This window comes from Homo sapiens, chromosome 6 (assembly GCF_000001405.40).
Source record: "Homo sapiens chromosome 6, GRCh38.p14 Primary Assembly".
Lineage (NCBI taxonomy): Eukaryota > Metazoa > Chordata > Mammalia > Primates > Hominidae > Homo > Homo sapiens.
The window spans coordinates 160,721,696-160,742,475 of record NC_000006.12 but is presented as its reverse complement, the minus strand read 5'-3'; the positions used below and the strand labels follow the sequence as shown (position 1 = coordinate 160,742,475).

The 20,780-nt window shown below is 40.4% G+C and overlaps 1 protein-coding gene across 1 annotated transcript in view, besides 3 other annotated features; it reads right to left on the bottom strand.

Moving 5' to 3' along the window:
• The window catches only part of PLG (plasminogen), a 51,905-nt gene that overhangs the window by 11,622 nt on the left and 19,503 nt on the right, over positions 1-20,780 (bottom strand). The window contains exons 10-17 of the mRNA NM_000301.5: positions 19,909-20,068; positions 11,244-11,425; positions 10,583-10,731; positions 8,388-8,481; positions 5,469-5,589; positions 3,864-3,938; positions 3,268-3,408; positions 1,059-1,165 (exon numbers count right to left, since the gene is read on the bottom strand). Coding sequence (NP_000292.1) covers positions 1,059-1,165; positions 3,268-3,408; positions 3,864-3,938; positions 5,469-5,589; positions 8,388-8,481; positions 10,583-10,731; positions 11,244-11,425; positions 19,909-20,068 — 1,029 coding nt within the window. The remainder of the gene's footprint in view (positions 1-1,058; positions 1,166-3,267; positions 3,409-3,863; positions 3,939-5,468; positions 5,590-8,387; positions 8,482-10,582; positions 10,732-11,243; positions 11,426-19,908; positions 20,069-20,780) is intronic.
• Positions 49-118: an enhancer, noted in NCBI's record as "active region_25403". NCBI's record gives its function as "activates an Ori minimal core promoter by ATAC-STARR-seq in GM12878 lymphoblastoid cells {active_cell/tissue: GM12878}" and the evidence as "EXISTENCE:reporter gene assay evidence [ECO:0000049][PMID:35858748]".
• Positions 3,564-4,763: an enhancer, noted in NCBI's record as "CDK7 strongly-dependent group 2 enhancer chr6:161158745-161159944 (GRCh37/hg19 assembly coordinates)". NCBI's record gives its function as "activates an origin of replication core promoter dependent on BRD2, BRD4, P300/CBP, MED14 and CDK7 cofactors, with strong dependence on CDK7, by STARR-seq in HCT116 cells {active_cell/tissue: HCT116}" and the evidence as "EXISTENCE:reporter gene assay evidence [ECO:0000049][PMID:35650434]".
• Positions 9,208-9,287: a silencer, noted in NCBI's record as "silent region_17762". NCBI's record gives its function as "represses an Ori minimal core promoter by ATAC-STARR-seq in GM12878 lymphoblastoid cells {active_cell/tissue: GM12878}" and the evidence as "EXISTENCE:reporter gene assay evidence [ECO:0000049][PMID:35858748]".

Below are 20,780 nucleotides of genomic sequence, written 5' to 3'. Positions count from 1 at the left end.
GACACTAACACACTTTTCTAAAGAAGACATGCCTGTGGCCAACAAACATATGAAAAAAAGCTCAATATCACTGATCGTTAGAGAAATGCAAATCAAAACCACAATGAAAAATCATCTCACACCAGCCAGAATGGCTTCCTAAAAAGTCAAAAAATAACAGATGCTGGCAAGGTTGCAGAGAAAAGAGAACACTAACAGCTGGTGGGACTGTAAATTAGTTCATCCACTGTAGAAAGCAGTATGGTGATTCTCAAAGAGCTAAAAGCAGAACTAACTTTCAACCCAGCAATCCTACTACTGGCGATATACCTAGAGGAATATAAATCATTCTACCCTAAAGACACATGCACATGAATGTTCATTGCAGCACTATTCACAGTAGCAAAGACATGGAATCACCTATATGACCATCAATGACACATTGGATGAAGAATATGTGGTACATATACACCATGGAATACTGTTTAGCCATAAGAAAGAATGAGGTAATATCTTTTACAGGAACATGAATGGAGCTGGAGGCCGTTATTCTTAGAAAACTAACACAGGAACAGAAAACCAAATACCACATGTTCACAGTTATAAGTGGGAGCTAAGTGATGAGAACTCATGGACACAAAGAAGAGAGCAACAGACACTGGGGCCTACTTGAGGGAGAAGAGTGGGAGGAGGGAGAGGAGCAGGAAATACTAAGAATTGGGTACTAGGGTTAGTACCTAGGTGACAAAATAATCTGCATGACAAACCACTGTTTACATATACAAGAAACTTGCACATGTACCCCTGAACCTAAAATAAAAGTTAAAAATTAATTAATTGAAATAAAAATGTTCTGAAAACAGAGAGAGAGAGAGAGACTCAAAGACACAGTTTTCCTCCCTTTGATCATGTGCCTTGAAGACTGATTAAGACATAGACAGGTGCCCAGGCAAAATCAGGAGTGGGGTGGACCACATTCATGGATAGGAATTTGCACAGCTTTCTCCAAAATGATCATTTTGTCACATGGACTGTAGGTCAAAACCAATTCGTTATGTGGGCAATGGAATTTATCTCACCTTGGGTTTCTCCCCAGCCAGTGATGAAACATTCGGTCCGGTCAGCGACCACATAATTTGGGGATGGCAGACAAGCTGGGATTACTTTGTCAGTGATGACGGCAGGACTGAAAGAAAAGCATCAGCAGTTATGTTTGACTGCTCTGCTCGCAGCTGCAGTACCCACAACCAGTCATCCCTGTCTTGAGGCCCCAGAGCCCTCTGAACTGGCACTGCCTTGCTTCACTGACACAGAGCAACGTAGAACACAGAGTTTCACCCTCACATTTGCCTGTGGTTGTCTATGGACTATGCAGATGTAAGGTTTCATTTGAAAGGCATCAGTTGCATGCAAGATACTGCTGGTGGCCTTCACCTTTGAAAGTAGGGATGACAAAGGCGCACTTCTCATGTATATTCTGTGCACAACTGGAATCTCATGCTGAGTGTGTCCTTTTACATTAATCGAATAGGGCATTGATCAGTGCATGGAATGTCTGACTGAGATGCCACCAAGAGGCTGTAAAATTGCAAATGTGTTGTGTGCCCAGAGCAACTTGCTCCATCCTTGGATCCTCCATTTCCTCCTCAGTGAATGTTACTACGCCATAGTTGTAAGAATCCAGTAAAATACTTGATACCAAATGAAAGAGGATTGGAAATAAGCCTTTTGCTTGAACAAAATGGTATTTGTTTTCAAAGAACATTCATATACTTTAGAGTCCCAGGGACTCTCAAACATTAGAACTCCGGTTTTTAGACCTGATTCTACTTTAGTAAGTTCAAGAGGATAAAGGATTGGAAATAAGAAATGCCCTATTCTGATCAAGAAACATCATCGTCACCAACTTTGAAGCAGGCACACTTTCTGCTTCTGAGCATCATCAGAAGGCCCAGCCTGTCATGCAGACGTCCTCACTCTACAGGTTCCCTGGTGGAGCACTAAATGCCCTAGACTCGGGGTGTGGGGATGTGGGGTGGGAACTCTAAACTCGAAATGTATCAGCCTATCAGAGAACTCCTCCAAAACCCAAAATTTCCAAATTACTTGTTCAAGCCATCAGAACACCCCAGCTCTCTGAGGATCATGAGGAACGGGGACCTTCTATTTGCACATTTGCTGGGATGGCGGGGAGGACACTGGGGAGCAGGAGGGAGATCAGCTACTGTTTATAAAGGCTGAGCTGGAAAGGCTCTTCTCTCCTTCTAGAGTGTCAGAGCATCCCAGGACATCACCCCTCAGTTCACAGACCCAGAGAAGCTGCCCTGGGCTTGTGGCCAGGCCCAGGAGAGCAGCTCAGGCTCCTGCCCCGTGCCTTCTCATCCAGGCCATGCTCATCCCTGTCCACACTGACACCCTGTCTTCCAGAACCACCAGCACAGCGAGCGCCCTGCGTGCCTTGTCACCTGTCCCAAACCTGCTTCTCCTACAAATAGCTGTTTCTTAGCTGACTCAACTAGTATCTGGCTCCAAACAGCACTAAATGAGTGACATAAGCAAATGTTTCACTTTGTCAGGCTTAGTGAAACAACATTTCAACAGGAAAGAGAAAATCAAATCAAAGAAGACAATAATAATAATATAATTTACATTTATAAACTGTATTTGTGATTTTTTTGACATTGTGAAGTTGTTTTTTTTTTGTTTGTTTTTTGTTTTTTTGGTGTTTTTTTTTTTGGTACAGTGTCTTACTCTGTCGCCCAGGCTGGAATGCAGTGACACGATCATAACTCACTGCAGCCTCAAACTCCGGGACTCAAGTGACCCTCCTGCCTCAGCCTCCCAAGTAGCTGGGATTACAGGCACCCACACCAGACACCCAACTCGATCTTGTGGTTTTTAAAGTGCTTTGAAACAAATATAGTCTTATATGATTCTCTTAAACATATTATGATGAAGGGGGAATTGTCAGCCTGGAATAACTGAATCGTTCTCTGATCATGAATGTGTATGAACTGGTGAACATTAAGTGAGTTCTAGGAGTAACAGAGTACCTCATTTCAACTCTTTTTCCACATGAGAAAACGGAGTCCTGCTGCCTTTCTCAAGAGCACAGCTAGCATGTGGCAGGGCTAGGGTTGAAGATTGATGCTGTCCCCAAAGCCCTTGAGCCTTTCATGTGATAGACAGTTCCTCCCCACTGCCATGCAGTGGCCATGGCCCATAAAACCCAGACATAAAGCAAATATCTTCACCAGCGTGGGGTGAAGACCACAGGTGAACGAGTACCTGCTTAGCTTTAGCAAGGCAATATCTTTTCGTGTGGGCTCCAAGAACAGCCTAGACACTTCTATTTCCTGAACATGCGGTTCGAGATTCACTTCTTGGTGTGCACCCAGGATGACCTTGTAGGATGAAGGCCTTGGGGACCTAGAAAAGATGAGGACGTCAAGAGGAAAATATGGTCCAGCCCCTTCAGGTAACCTCTGTGCCATGAAATTGGTGCTGTCTCCCTGACACCCTTGGCCACTCAGAATTAGTGACTTCTGAGTGGCAAGAAGCAAAATTCATGATTTGCTTGAAACAGGCAGTTAAGGAATGTTCTTGGGCTGTTTGGGCAGAGACTGATACAGCCTATGGTAGTGAACAGCTCTGTTCTGCAGTTTATTCAGGCCCACAAAATCATCTGTACTGTGTCTTTCCTCTGCAGTTTCTTTCTAGAAACCCTTCCCTTCTCTCTTATCCAATTGCCCTGGCCTGGTCCCTAGTGTCACAGCCAGAGAAGGAAGGGAGGAAGAGTGAGAAAGGAAAGGAGGAAAGGAGGAAAAGAAGGACAGAAAAAGTATTTAAGACAAGACTTCATGTCAATTGTCCCCTAAACATACTTCTCCAAGCAGTGGGCAGCAGTCAACACCCACTCTGGGGATATCAAGGTGCCTCCACAGAAGTGCATTCCAAACCTGGAAAGAGGATTTAGTTCAAATTTTAGTTAAATTGATACTTTGTTCTGCTCCATTGTACAGAAAGCCAGAAAGACACGTTCACTTAATTTTGACCATGTTCATATTCCCAAAGGAAAGGACTGCAAGCCCAGCATCAGGATGGTAGTAATTTTGGCCAGTGCTCCAGGAGTGGGATTTTTGAGAAGGGCCCATCTATGCCAATTTTTCCGATGCTTGGGGGAGGCACAGGCATGGCCTGTCCACAGGAGAGCAAAGCTAAGTAACTCCGCATGAAGCTCTACAGCCACGGCTTTCACCCCACAGCCCAGGACTCCAACAGAAGCCACCAGCCCAAGACCTTCCCCCGAGGCCTCTTTCATTTTTATGACAAGATCTATGTAAGGTCTGATGAATCACTCTTCAAGGAGCCAGATGTGATCCTGAGCAGCAGTGACTCATGGGAGTCTTCTGATCTTACCTGAGAAACTTTACTTTTGGGGAATGTTTCCTGAATCACTTACTTTCTAGGACTGCGTAGGCAGGTAATAGCTCAGAATAATGGTGTGAGCCATTTGGAACCAAATTTAAAGAAGAGGAATAGAGATAGGAAGTGCATGATGGTAGCATGTTGATAAGTCAGTGAGGACGTAGACCACCACATAGTTTAGGAAAGAATGAATCTGAAATATGTGGAAGGTGAAAGCTCTGTAGAGCAAGGAGTTACTAAATGATAAAATAAAGAAAAATCGACTCAACAGCAGAGTGAAATGCAATGCGATCAGGTTTGTCGATGGCATTTCACAAACTTATGGAAAAGAGTCTCTTTAGGGGAAAACAGCAATTGAGCACAGGCACCCTCGTGTAGAAGTGAGATGAGGAAGCAAAACAGGCAGACGGATGGGCCTGTTTCCTATGCTTGCTTCCTAAGAGATACCCAAGAAAATGGAACTTATGAAAGGCATGTTCCACTGAAACAATACCCAAAATGTCCAGGTTCCCTGGGATTGGACTGATCACTCTTCATTTATGGGGATCATGACCTAGAATTTTTTTGTTTGCGAATGGATGAGTAGCCTCTGCATTGAATTCAATGATTCACGAAAGTGTCCAAAGAAAAAGAATCTGTGCCTGTGATAGACTGGAGATAATTTTGTCCTTGCTCTCCCAACCCAGAAAGTGTCACATTTCTAAAAACTTCCCCCTCTTTTCATCTGACAATGAGACAATGGATATCCATAGAAATCCTCAGAGCATCTTCAGTATTTTCCAGCAATATTGGAACTTGGTGCAAATCACTGTGCCTACAGATTTTGATGGAGCTGCCCAGATCAAGAAAAAGACAGCAATTTTTGTCATTTTCACAGTAGAGAACCTATAAAAATATATATGTATATATACATATATTAATTTTTGTAGCTTTTTTCCTCCTTCAGAAAACTTAGAGGCAGGTGCTGATGCCTCAGCTGTGTGGATTTTATGTAAATGTAGAAGGGTTTTGCAGGGCTTACGTGGAGGGACAGTATAAATCGTTTCTGGGCCTGTTCTTACCTTGTTCTAAGACTGACTTGCCAGGGCCAGGAATGTGGGTGGGCCACACACCCCCCTACAACCCTTCCAGGACATTTCTTCGGCTCCACTTGAGGCTTCCCACAATCAAATGAAGGGGCCGCTGTGGCACAAGGTGGGAAAGAAATCCCATTTGAGACAAGGTAGCAATTTTGTGGTGTAATTCGAGACAAATTCCAAGCACTGAGTTTTTGACATCTTAAAGGCCGAACTAAATAGTAAAATCATCATCTTTTGGAACATTTTCTCTAAGTTTCAAAAGTGGTAGTAGACAACACAGGACCCTCTCTTTTCAAGAAAATATAAGCACTTTGTAATTATTTTGTTGGAGAAGTGATCAAACAGACTGGTATAGTTTAGCATCAGAATGAGATATTTTCTGAGAAAACCTTGATTGGGACAAATGGTTATTTGTCATTGTTATTCTGACTCCATGCAGTATGTTTAGAACATGATGCCATCCTTCCCATAATCATCATCATCACCATCACCATCTAAACCATGTAAAGTTTACTGAAAACCATAATTGTCATCACTGCTGAAAGGCACAAAGGTTTATTTTTCCATGTGAGTCTCTGTGTGTGCACGTGTGTGTGTGTGTGTATGTGATTGTATGTAGCAAGGATTACTGTCCTAAGTTGAAATGTTGCCTTCTGTCAGCCAGCTTCAGGACAGCTCCTCTGGGGAGCCTCCCATGACTAACCAACGGCCGTGGGGGTGACTTAAACATATGACTTTATTCTTCTTTTCCTCCTCCCTGCCTTCTCTCTGTAGCCAGCCCACAGGGTCTCTGGAGGTAGGGACAGTGTCCCATCTTTGGTACCATCCACCAATGCCTACAACAGTGCAGGGGCTGCAGAGGGTATTCAAAAATGCTTCTCTGTTGTCTCCAGCCCTTCAAGGTCTTCACAAATGTAAATGTTAATATTTTAAATAATTGTTCATACAATTATTAGTAACAACTGTAAGAGGAAATTCCTTCCCAACCAACCAGAGATTCTATGCTCTAGTGAATCTGGAACCTGGGTTTTCCAAATAACTTTACATTTGCCATGGGCTGTTCTGAGAATCTATCTATGGAAGCCTTTTTTTAAAAAAAGAAGCAAGGCATAGAATGCAATCATCTTCTCTAGTGCTGAGCTCAATTTCTGCTAGTATGCCTTACATACAGTAGACATGCATCGTTGTACTAAAAGAGTAACTACAGAAATGATGGTACCCTGCTCCTACTATTCAAAACAAAACTGAATGTTTCTATTTATTTTTGCTTATTATTATTTGTACTGTATATGTTGGTGGAAAGGAAATAGTTATTAAAATCATTCACCACCAGAGGCTCTAGCTTTCTCAAGCACGAGTCAAACCTGAATAAACCATATCCTTCTGCATGAAACAGTCCTCAGGATTTCCAAGTGTCTGATGGGAACGCTTCTCACCAGGCTTGGGGTTAACCTCACTTGTCTCACATCAAGGTTAGGTGGGGGACCTCACAGTCCTTTGGGAAAAATCTTGTTCCCATTCTTCCTTCTTTCTCCAATCTCTAAGAACCTGATTCTTGTACATCCTCAATGTGGGTGAGGACACCAGAATTGCACCTGGGAAACTACTGCACTTCCCTTCCATGGGAGTCAAAGGTGCATGAGTCCCAGGCACGGTAGTGGGGTCTGAGGCAAGAAAATCAGTCTGGGCTCAACTTCAAGGCAGCCTGTCAAGGATAGAGAGCCCGGGCAGTGAGAGGCAGTGGTGTGTACCAGATGGGGCCAGAAGTGGAGAACTGGAACTGACTCCATCGAGGGACTTTGAGTTAGAGGTGCCACCAAGATGCTTCTGCAGAAAAAGTCAGCTATCAACTCATGCTAAATCCAGAGATCACAATGCCGCATTACAATAATATTGGCCAAGTAGAATCTTTCATACCATCCTAACCCCTCCTTCCTCCCTCTTGGTGTCCCTAGGAGAAGCCCAAATGCGAAGCTGGGCAGTGTGGCTCCCATGATCTTCATCACTGCCCTGTACCACCTTCCCAGGCAATCTCAGGATGCTGGTCTTCAGTGGACTTGGAGGCCAAGCTCCTTCCCCCAGCTCAAGGTCCCTCCACATGGCAGACCCAACCACAAGCAACCAAATTATGCATAGGAGAAGTCCAGGGTGGTTTTCTGTAACTAGGACAAATTGATTGGTCAGCAGAATGTTAAATATGGGACAATTCCAAGTAGCTTCCTTTCTTTTTTTTTTTTTTTTTTTCAGAAATACCCATGGATTTGTTATTCCAATTCTTTAAGAACTAATGTCAACTCCCCTTCCCCTGATCCAAGCCTCATACTCCCAACAAGAGTCTCAGAGCAATGAGGATGGAACCCAACAAGCAGTCTCTAAGCTATGTCACTAATGTGACTTGTGAGTAGTAAACTTATAAGAAAGGCCATCTGGGGCTAAAGAGCTGCACTACCTTTCATTGAATTCCTAGGATGGCCATCTGAGGTTTACAATGTGCGTTACATGCTTACCTGTTTCCTGCTGTTTGTATTTTCTTTCTTACTTCTCAGCTGTGGAAAGGGAAAGTTTTTCATCCGAATGACTCTAAATTTTTCATGCATCCCACGCTAGACATGGCAGCATTCAGTGGGACCATCCTGGGGCTGACTAGATTACCTCTAAGCTTGCTCTTTGGGAATTTTACATTTATTTTATTTATGTGTGCCTGGGGCGATGGGCAGGTGTTCCTCTAACAAATGTGGCCAATAGTAGGGCAGATTCAAGATGCCCATGATGAAGAGTGGGGTCTGATGGAGAGGGCAGCTATCTCCTCCCCAGAAGCAGTCTGCTCAGAAGCCCTTTTCCTTTTTTGTTGCAAATCCATATTAAGTAAGCAGTTTCCTTACCAAAAAGAAGGCAACCTACCACACTGAGGGACATCACAGTAGTCGTAAAGTTTTCTTGGATTTGTCGTGTAGCACCAGGGACCACCTACATCACCATCAGGGTTACGGCAGTACTGAAAACAAGAAGGCATGTAAGCTCCAGCTCACGTGGGGCAGGAGAGGGAGAAGGTGTTCCAAGGCTCACGCATTTCATGTCTATCCTTAGAAGACATAAAGGAGTGTTTCTTTTTCCTTCCTTCTTTTTTTTTTTTTTTTTTTTTTCTGAGGTGGAGTTTTGCTCTTGTCGCCCAGGCTGGAGTGCAGTGGCATGATCTCAGCTCACTGCAACCTCCATCTCCTGGGTTCAAGCGATTCTCCTGCTTCAGCCTCCTGAGTAGCTGCAACTGCAGGTGCACGCCACCACACCTGGCTAATTTTTTTTTCTATTTTCAGTAGAGATGAGGTTTCACCATTTTGGCCAGGCTAGTCTCGAACTCCTGACCTCAGGTGATCTGCTTGTCTCAGCCTCCCAAAGTGTAGGGATTACAGGTGTGAGCCACCATGCTCAGCCTCTTCTTCCTTTCTATTATTATTATTATTATTTTGGCAAAGTTATTTTTTGAATGCTCTAAAGCCGTCCTTCCTGTGCCCCTGTTCAAAAGGAGCTATGAGGCCACACCCCTGGACAGGGAGTGGTGACCCTCGGGGGTCTTTGGAGAATGGGTCTCCCTTCAGGAGCCTGACCCAGTGGAGGCCTTAGAGCCCCAGCACCAAAGGACAGTGGGACATCATTGATGTGCATTGTCCCTGGAGGGCTCAGCGCTCTCCTACCCGATGAAGCCTGTTTGCTGTTGATTCAGAAACATTTATTTCCATGCATTGTGCGCCCTCTATGGGGCAAGACACAGAAAGGCAGTGTTGTCCTCCCCTTCATATGACACTGTGGTAGAATAAGAAACGTATATTTGGTCTCTGCCCCCCAGTTCCTGACACGGAGCTCCTAAATCCCTTGGGGGTTCCTGAGTGAAGGGAGCATCTTTTGTTTGAATGAAGCAACTCTTGGTGGGTTCTTGGATAGTCTCAGGATGGGGCTGGTTGCCAAAGGAACCAACCATGTGATTGCAGGGTTGGAACTGTTCAGCCCCCCACGTCCAACTTCCAGGGAGGGAACAGGAGCTGAAGGTGAGCTGGTCTCCAATGGCCAACGATGTATTCAACTGTGCCTCTGTAATGAAGCCTCCATAAAAACCCAGCAAGACTGCACTTGGAGAGCTTCTGGGTTGCTGAACACTTGGGGTACCGGGGGCTGGTGCACTGGAGAGGGCATGGAAACTCTGAGCCCCTTCTCACATGCCTTGCCCCGTGCATCTCTTCTGTCTGGCTGTTCACCAGGATCCTTTGTAATATCTTTTATAACAAATGGGTAAATAAAAGTAACGTGTTCCCCTGAGTTCTGTGAGCCACTCTAGCAAAGTAATCAAGTAGAAAAACAGATTTTTGTCCAGTTGGGCAGAAGTACAGGTCACCGCCTGGAACTTGGGATTGGCATCTGCAGTGGGGCGGTCTTGTGGGACTGAGCCTTAACTTATGGGATCTGACACTGTCTCCAGATAGAGTGTCAGCACTGAGTTACATTGTAGGACACCCAGCTGGTATCTGCTGGAGACTCGCTTGGGGTGTGAGGAGAAATCCCCCCACATCTGGTGTGAGAAGTGTTATGCTGCATGGGTGTGAGAGTGGGGGAACACAGACACTTTGGTTTTTCCTATATCTCAGTCTTCCCTATTCATAGGCCCCAAAGTAAACCATCGCAGAGAATGCATGAGGCTAAGGGAAGTCCCATGGTGACCTGATGGCCCATCCAAATTTTTTCTCGAAAAATCTGACTTAAATTTCATAAAGGGCATCTTTGATTACTGGAACCTAGCATACAAACACTAGAAACTAGAGACAGTCCCCAATAATGGAAACTTTAAAGAAATGTCACTAAAGGGAAGAGGCCTGAGAACCCTCACATGTGTGGAGGTTTCCTGGCCTGTGCTGCTTGTACTTTCCATACTAAGGCCAATTATATTCTAGCTTAGCCCCCTGATGCCTTTCCAATATTTTCTTCTGTCCCCTCTCCCCCATTACAAAAAAGAGCAGTCCAGGTCAGATTTTCTGTAACACAGAACCAATTCTGTTTGCAAAGATTGGTGAGCAAAAGGCCAAAGAGTCCAAATCAAAGTGGCTTACATTTTTTTCCAGACCCGCCCGTGGATTTGTCTCTGGAGTGAAAATGCTGTGTCTATGGGGCTCCTGGGCAGCCCAGTCCTGGCATGGCGTCCCAGTAACAGTGGTCGCCCTCTTGCCTCGGTATCCTTTCCCATTCCCAAACATACAGTCTGTACAGGGAAAAAATGGATGATTATGAAGAGCCACAGAGACCCAGGATGATATGGAATCAATACAGTCATGTCAGGTTTCTCTAGGATGACAGAATCAGGGGCCACATTCCTCAGAAACTGCAATGCTGAAGACTGCAATGAACGCTGCCTACCTTAAGAAATTACTGGAGATGCTTACTGGCTTGGAAAGAATCACACATATGGCAGCATGATAGAATACGAATTTGGACTGGGATACTGAGATAACCCATTTTAGAACAAGGTGAGTGGTTAAGTTGAGCACCTTGGAGGGTTTGCACCTGTCCTAAAGGCACAGCCCACTCACGTTGTGCCAAAAGTCACACCTCTGCCTCCTTGAGAGAGTGCACTGAGGCTTCCTTCCACATGGCAGACCCTCTAAAAACACTTGATTTCTCGTGTAGCATGGAAGGTTTCTGCATCAGTGAGATTTTCCATGGCTTTTCATCCCAGCGTCCAAGTGTGTAGATGTCCAGCCACAGATTTCTTACCTTCTTCGGAAGGAGTCTCTACATCTGGAAGCAGGACAACAGGCGGAGGTGCTACAACACTCGCTTCTGTTCCTGAGCATTTTTTCAGGTTGCAGTACTCCCACCTGACGCTGGGGTCTGTGGTAAAACACCAGGGGCCTTTATCGGCATCTGGATTCCTGCAGTAGTTCATTGTCAGGCCACTGGAAATTCCAAAACAATACAGGTCACAAGAGGTGGGAGAATATTCAGGGGCACCCAGCACCCTCTACATTTTGTTCTAACAAAGTGTTAACAAGTGGCTTTGAAATATTCCCATTATAGGTACAATAATGTTGTAACAAACAAAAATGGTCCTCAACTTCTAAACAACTGTGTACATTTCAAAGACAGATTTTAATTTTTCTTTAAAAAATCAAAAGTAGTATATGCTCCATATAAAAACTCAGATCATACATAAACATGTAAATAAAAGGATCAGAATATCCCCCTCCCACCTTCTGCCAAATACATTTCTCAGGAATAACAGGTACAGATTTTAAAGTGCATATTTTATATTTTTATGCACATAAAAGTATATCTCTAACTGTCTAGCTCTCTGTATTTCTCTCTATAGGACTGTATTGTGAAATGTGCATTGGAACTAAAATACATTTCTCCAAGGAGAAAATGACATCCAAGATGGTATCATTCCCAGGCCAGTCACCTTACTCTAAGTACTCACAGTGTAACTAAAGGGATCTACTTTTACTATGAAAAACAACCACGAAAAATAGTGTTACTGTCAATACCGTATCAGGTGTGTCAAGTGGGTTTGTTTCTGCAAGACGTATCAAAGCCACCCTGGGAAACTAGCTCCCAGGCAGGATGCCATTTCTCTAGGATGGGTTCCTGGGCAGGACATCCTCTCCTGCTCTCAATCCATCCTCTGCTGGCCACTGCCACTCCAGGTCTGAGGGAATGGGGGATGAGTTGGAAGAACAGTGGGACTCAAGATATAAAGGGAGACTATGGGATCTGAAGAGGTCGGGCAGCTACGGAGGAGTCCGAAAACAACGGAGTAATAGTCAAAGCAGGCGAGGACCCCGGGCTGGGGGGGATCTTGGAGAATGTGCTCCCCCTCATGCCTCCCAAGAATGTTGCTCCAACCTCTCAGAATCCTCACATTCATGACCTGTGGCTGTCTGAGAAAACGGGAAATGTATTATGTACCATGGGAATGCAACATTGTCTCTCTAGCGACTCTACACATGTGATCTAATCTCAAGCCCAGACACCCCATTTGAGGAAGTTCATAGTCTAAGCAACTGGATGTGTTAAAAGGCTGAGCATTTGAAACAGATTTCCACTCTCTTCAGTTGAGGTATACTTTTACATAGTGTGAAATGCACAGATCTTAAATGTTGTTTGGTGAGTTTTGATGATCACCTATACTTGTGTAAACCACACTCCCATATGATACAGAACACTTCCATTACTCTAGAAACACCCTGTGTCACTGCTCATTCAATTCCTGCTACCCTCTTCCCACTGCCAGAGGGAAATACTATTGGTTTCCTTCACTAAAGATTAGTTTTACCTCTCCTCAAACCTGATATAAATGGGCTCATACAGAATGTACACTTATGTATCTGCCTCCTTTCCTTAATATATTTTTGAGTTCCATCCATCCTATTTGAGAGGATCAGTCACTTCTTCATTTTAATTGCTTAATAATATTCCATTATATGAATAGATCACAAATTATCGATTCATTTTCTCATTGATTGACCTTGTAGTTGTTTACAGTTTGGGGTTATAATAACTAGAGCTGCTGTGAATATTCTTGTAGATCTCTTTGTGGACTTCTGTTTTCATTTCCATGGGGTAAATATTCAGGAATAGAATTGCAGTTTTTTGGGGTAGACTCATAGTTATTTAACTTTATGGAAAACCAGCATACTGTACTTTAACCAGCGTATGCGAGAGCTGCACATCCTCGCTCCACATCAGTGACAGCACTTATTGTTGTGTCTTCTTAATGATACCCATGCCCATTAAGTGTTGGTGACATCTTGTGATGGTTATAATTCTTATATCTTTGATGGCTAAAATGTTGAGCATTTTTTCAGGTGCTTATTGTCCATCTGTCCATCGTTCCCTGAGAAATTTCCTATTCAATTCTGTTGCCCATTTTAATTAGGTTGTTTGTCCTCTGATTAGTGAGTGGGAGAAACGTTTATACTCTAGATACAAACCATTTGTCAGATATATGGATGGAGAGAATTTTTATTCCAGTCTGTTACTTACCTACTGATTTCTTAACAATGACTTTTGATGAACATAATTTTCATTTTATGAAAGCCCAAATTATAATTTATTTTCTTTTAAAGCTAGTGTTTTCTGGGTCCTGCCTGAAAAAAATTTTGCCTTCCTCAAGTTTGTGAAAATATTATATATTTTCCTGGAATTGTTTTATTTCAGCTTAAGTTTTAGCTCTTACATTTAGATCTAGGAGCTTTTGCACATTAATTTGGGATGGAAAGTAGAAGTCAAAATTTGTTTTTATTTTTGTTTTCTAGATGGATATCCGATTGTTTCACAATGATTTTGGAAAAGATGTTTTTCCCTGTTGAATTTCCTTGTCACCTACCTAGAAACTAAATTGATCATGTATATGTGGATCTGTTTCTGGACCATCCATTTCTATATCTGTATACTTTTTTTTCCCAATACCACATATCTTGTTTACTGTACCTTTATAGGTCTTTACCTTTGGGTAAGTAAGTCCTCCAACTTTTTTCTTCTCTTTAAATATTGTCCTTGTGATTCTAGCATATACATTTTTTCACATTTTTTAAAAAAAACGACTGCTGAGATTCTGGTTGGGTATGGGCTGAATCCAAAGATCAATTTGGTGAGAAGTGATATTGACTCTTAATATATAAGCGTGATATATCTTTATTTAGATCTTTTGATTCCTTCCTTAACAATGTTTTTTAGTATGCAGTACATAATTCTTGTGCATATTGTGTTAAATGTATCACTAAATATCTTGTGGTTTTGATACTATTGTCAGTGGTATTGCTCTGACATTTTTATTTTCCAGTTGATCATTGGCAGTGTATAAAAATACAACTACTTTTATTATATTGATCATGTATATACTTATGTGTTCTCCAATCTTGCAAAATTTAATTATTAATCTTTAGGACTTTCTGCATCCGTTAATTAAGCTTTCTGTGAATACAGGCAGTTTTAATTCTTCCTCTCCAAACTTTAGGCCCTTTCTTTCTTTCCTTCCTTTTTTTCCTCTCTTTTTGTTTTGTTTTCAGGTCTTATGGCAATGGTTGTGACCAATGTAGTAAAATGCTGATTAGAAGTACTGAGAGCAAACATATTTTTCTTATTCCCAATCTTAGAGAGAAAACATTAATCTTTCACCATTAAGTTGATGTTATCTGGAGGTCTTTTGTAGATGCCTTTGATCAAGTTAAAGAAGTTCCAGTCTATTCATAGTTTGCTAAGACATTTTATCATGGATAAGTGTTAAATTTTGTCACATTTTCTTCTGCATCTATTGACATAATCATATGATTTATCACTTTTATTCTGTTAACATGTTGGATTACATGGATTGTTTTGTAAATGTTAAGCCAGCCTTGCATTCTTGAAGAGAAGCTTCACTTGTTTGGGATATTCATCATGTTAATGATTAAAATTTTGTTACATCTTTTTATATTTATGTTCACAATACATAATGTGCTATAGTTTCTCACAATATCCTTGTCTACTTTTTTACAACTAGGGTTTTTTTTTTTTCTCACAAATTGAGTCAAGAAATATTTCCCTTCTCCTCTATTTTCTGTAACAGATCGTGAAGAATTGGATTTTTTTTAAATAATAACATTTCTAATGATGCCATCTGAACTTAGAGTGTTCTCTGTGGGAAGTTTATTGATTTATTAATATATATTAACATATTAAAGATTATATACACATGTTGTCTTTAATAGATATCAGATTGGTTAGAAATTCAGTTTATTCAGTGTCCAATTTGCTTATTTGTTTTTTTCTAAGGAATTAGTCCATATTATCTAGGTTATTGAATTTGTTAACGTAAAGTTGCTCTCAATATTTGTTTATTAGCTTTAATATCAAAAAGATCCTATAGCAATGACTCTTCCCTTTTTTTACTCCTGATGTTGACGGTGGTGCTCCCTCCTTTGTCGTCAGTTTAGGCAGAGGTTTATCAATTACATGAATCTTTCAAAAGAACCAACTTTCTGTTTCACAGATTTACTCAATTGTTTGTCTATATTCTTATACACTGGATTTCACAGATTTTCATTCTTTCCTTCCTTCCACTTACCTTGGATCTTATTTGCTTCTCCTTTTCTAGATGTTTAAGTTATCTTAAATCAACAGTTCTCAAAGTTTTTGGTCTTAAGACCCCTTTAACTCTTAAAAAGTATTGGGGACCCTAAAGAGCTTTCATTTTGTAATATATACTATGAATATTTATTGCATCCAAAACTGAGAATGTTTTTAAACATAATAGACAATCACACATTTTATTAGCCATCAGAGAGATAATGTGATCAAACATTATGTAGCCTCTGGAAAACTCCACTGTACACTTATCAGGAAATAAAAGTGAAATAGCAAATAAAATCTTTTTTTTTTAAATTTAAAGGTGTTTTAACCTCATAGACTGTCTCTGAAGGGATCTCAAGAGACTTCAGGTTTCTCCAGAGCATACTTTGAGAAATGCCATCTTAAGTCATTGATTTTTACATGTTTCTATTTTCTACTGAAAGCATTTAAAGTTATAAAACCCTAAAAACATTCGCTGCATCATACGAACTTTGATATGTTGTATTTTTACTATTATTCAGTTCAAAACTTTTCTAAATTCCTTCTTTGACTTATGAAGTATTTGGAAATGTGTTGTTTCATTTTCAGATATTTGATAATTTCCCAATTTTTTTGTTATTTATATCTCATTTAATTCTGTTTTGCTCAAAAACAGACTCTGTATCATTTTAATTCTTTTCAATCTATTAAGACTTGCTGTAGGCCCACACATATGGTATATGTTGGGGAATGCTCCATGCATACTTGAATGTGTATTCTGCAGTTTGGCATAGTGTTAAATAGGTTGACAATTTCCTTTAAAACATATATATTCTTTCTGATTTTTTTGTGTATTTTTTCTATTATATTTTGTTTGGGAAGATGTATAACCATACGGAGAGAGACATTAGGATATCTCCCACTCTAATTGTGGGCTTATCTGTTTGTCTCTTCAGTTCTGTCAGTGTTTGCTTCATATATCAGAAGGGCTCTTATGAGGGTGCAACCCATTTAGCATTGTTAAGTCTTGATGAATAAACTTTTTTTACTTAAGAAATAACTTTTTCATCGTGGTATTATTTCTTGTAGATTACTTTGGGATTAACATTACCACTCCAGCTTTCTTCTGATTCTTATTTTCATGATATGTCATTTTCCACACTTGGTTTTTGGACTAGCTCTTTACAATTAAAGAGCATGTATAGTAAAAAGAACATAATTGGGCTTTGATTTTTATTCAGCTTAATAATCTCTGCCTTTTCTGTGCAATGTTTAATCCCTTTATATTTAATATGCTTAGGAGTATATTAAATATATTTTCAGTTCAGTTTAAGTGTACCATAATGCTGTGTATTTTCTCTCTTTGCCATATCTTCTTCATTCTTTTTTCTTCCTTTCTTTCCTTCTTTTGGATAAATGGAACATTCTTATTATTATCTATTCCTCTAAGTTTAAATTTTTTCAGTTGTTCTAGGATTTGCAATAACCCTCTTTAACTTACCACCTTCAACCATGTGTATTATATAACTTCATGGATAATGCAAGAAACTTAGAACAGTATACTACCATTTATTTCCTACATTATTTATGTGATTATTATTATTTAGAAATTTTTACTTTTACATATGTTAAAGTAGCAATACATTGCTATCATTTTGCTTCAAGTAGTAAATTATTATCTTTTTGTTTGTTTGTTTGTTTGTTTGTTTTGAGTCTCGCTCTGTCACCCAGGTTGGACCGTAATGGCACGATCTCAGCTCACTGCAACCTCCACCTCCTGGGTTCAAGTGATTCTCCTGCCTCAGCCTCCTGAGTTGCTGGGATTACAGGCACGTGCCACCATGCCCAGCTAATTTTTGTATTTTTAGTAGAGATGGGGTTTCACCATGTTGGTCAGGCTGGTCTCAAACTCCTGACCCCATGATCTGCCCGACTCAGCCTCCCATCAATTATCTTTTAAAGAAATTAAGGCATTAAATATGAATCTTTTACATTTGCCATTTCCAGGGTTCTTCATTACTTAGTATAAAGTTCCCATCTGGCACTATTTTTCTTCTACCAAAATAGATTTCTAGAACATCTTTTATTATATAAGCCTAGTAATGAAATATTCTCTTAGTGTTTTATTTATTTTGGGGGAGGCAGAATATGTATTTATATAACATTCACTTTCAAGGGATATTTTTGCTGGATATAACATTCTATGTTAATCTTTTTTATTTTTTTCTATCACTTTAAAGGTGTTATTTCATTGTTTCTGACCAGCATAGTTTCTGACGAGAAGGCATCAGTCATTTTTACCACTATTCTTCTGTGTAAACATATATTTTCTTCTTCTGGCTTCTAATAAGATTTTTCTTGTTGCTTCAAGTATTTTTTTCTGTCCCAATATCTCTTTCCTCTCTTGTGACTTGCTTTACACATATATGAAATCTTTTGATATTTTCATAGATATTCTTGAGGCTCTGTTTCTTTATCTTTTCAGTCTTTGTATGTGTGTGCTGCAGTTTGTATCACTTCTATTGAATTATTTTCTAGTTAACTTTTTCTTCTGTAATGTCTAACCTGATGGTAAGGGTAGCCAGTACATTTTTCATTAAACATGCACTTTTTTAGTTATTTAATTTCTATTTGGTTATTTTATAATTTTTCTTTTTTGATATTATCCATTTGTTTCTTCCATGTTCATGTTTTATTTAAATCCTTGAACACAATTATGATATATATATATTTCAAATCTTCTTGCCAATTTCTTCATTTTGGGGTTTATTTGTTTTGAGTGCTTTTTCTCCTGGTTATGGATCACAGTAAATGCTTTTTGTATGTCTGGTAAAGTTATAAATTTAGGTCACACATTGTGGATGCCACATAACTGAGCAACTTGATTTTGTTGTTTGCCTCTAAAGGGTTGAATTTTCTTCTGGCAATCAGTTAATTTACTTGGAGATCGTGTTGATTTTTTTAGACTTGCTTTTCAGCTTTACTATGCTGTTTCTGGAGTGGCCTTTATTATAGGAATACACTAATCCTACTCCCAAAGTTTGGCTTTATGTGGTGACTACTGAATGCCCAAGATGTTCAGCGAGGTCTCTCCTCAGGCTGGTCAGAACTCAAATATCCCCCAGTGCTATGTGAGCTCTGGCATCTCCATTGAGCTCACTGTTCCCCTGCAGTTTTTCTTTCCCCAGTAGCTGTTCTTTATCCTATTTTCTCTCTGGAACCTCTCCCTGTGCATATGCAGCTTTCTATTTAGCCAAAGACTTGAGGACTTTTCTATGGACATTCCTGGAGCTGCTTTCCTCCACAATGTTTCCTTTCATGTTATTACCTAGCCTAGAAAATCTCAGCTGTTTTAGTAATCCCAACTCCAGTCTCCTTCCTCAGTTCAGCAAGACTGCTGTGGTCGGCTTGGGCTCCATCTCCTTGTTCTTCAGCCCAGGAAGTCTCCAGGAACAAAGCCAAGGTAGTTATTGGGTTGATCTCATTTGATTCCCTTTCTAAATTATCTCAGTTTATCTGTTCTCCAATATGTAAAAATAGTTTTTTCCATATATTGTGTACTCATTTATGGAAGAAAAGCTGTCCTTGTTAGACCTGGTTTTCTGTTCATCTAATGGCCTCTTTCGCTGTTCAGCATCTGCGTATCCTGCTTTTGTTCTTCATGTCCCAGCAACCCATATCCTTTCAGGCCACTGGTGCTCAGGATCCACTGTGTTTATACAGGTCAGAATATATATATATACATATTTATGTTATATATATTCTAATATACACACATATATGTGTACATATATATACACACATATATGTGTACATATATATACACACTATATATGTATACTTGTATATCTCATATATGTGTGTATTTATATATGCACACATATGTATACATATATATGTGTGTATATATATTCATACTTATATATATAAAGTATATTTACTTGTGACCCAAGACAAAAATAGCAAATTCAACCTTCATTTCAGGGGTTGGAGGTTAAAATGATAGATTTCTATGGTAGAAATATTGCACTGATATTTAGTGGGCATTGTGGAATGGTACTGTTTCTAAGCATTTGCTCATATGTACTCCTGAGCTTTCAATTAATGTGACCTCATCACCTCCAGATGTCCTCCTGCATCCATAAAACTACTCAGGAAAAATAGCCAGCCTAAAATTTCTCTTCTCGCAGGCCCTTTCTTCAAAAGCAAGATTCTTGAGACATTTTTCTACACATTCTGGGTCTAAGAGAAATTTGGTCCTAGGAAGTTGGCTTGAAGCATGAAGCATGGCTCTTTTAACAGAAATTTCAGTTGGCTGATGCCCCTCTTACAGTAAAAATCAAAGACATACGCATTTGGGTAGTTTTCTGGGGTCTTCTGGTGCCGGTGTGGTGTCATAGATGACCAAGACTGACACTTCTTTCCTGTGGTGGTGGTGGAGGATGTGCCTCGGTAGCTCTGTCCATCACCATGGTAGCAGTCCTGGACCACAGGGGTTAGCTCAGGTGGTGCTGAAATTAAAATAAAAGAAATCAAGCTTAACAATTACTGAAAAAAAAGAAGCATGAAGCAATTTATGACAAAAACAGTACGGTAGCCTCTGAGAATTATGACTGTTCTCTTTTCTGTATTAGCAGACAGATTAACATAAAAATAGATTTATAGCATTTTAGAACATTAATAAGTTCCTAGTAATATTTCATTTAAAACCTGGGTGTGAAAGAACAGATAGAGTACTTATAATTGGAAATTGCACTTACATGCAAGCTCTTTTTTATGGGTCCCTACTGAGTGTTCATGAGAACACGAGGGCAGATGAGAGGAGGATGCATTCGGCAGTGCAGGCTGTGGGTGGTGAGTGGCTGTCAGTGGGGGGCAGACATGAAAGCTTTGCACATTTCTCTAGCTCCTTCCTCAAACAAAGCCAAAGACCAAAGCTTCTGGGTGATAGGGCAGGAGATGGTCCTGCATCTAGGACTGCAGGCAAAGATCCACAGCTTCTCAGAGAGTGGTGGAGGCAAAAATCTTATTCCCTTGGAGAAGTTACAGGGAATCCTCTTGTGCCCAACATCCTGCATTGCAATGAAGCAGAAGCCTACTACTCTTTCTTTCCAAACCCACCACAGGTACAAGTTCCATCAGAAGGAGGCACAAGAACACTGAAAAATCACTACTTTCAAAGCCGAGCTGTGCTCAACTGGCCTAAGAGGGAGGTAGACCAGG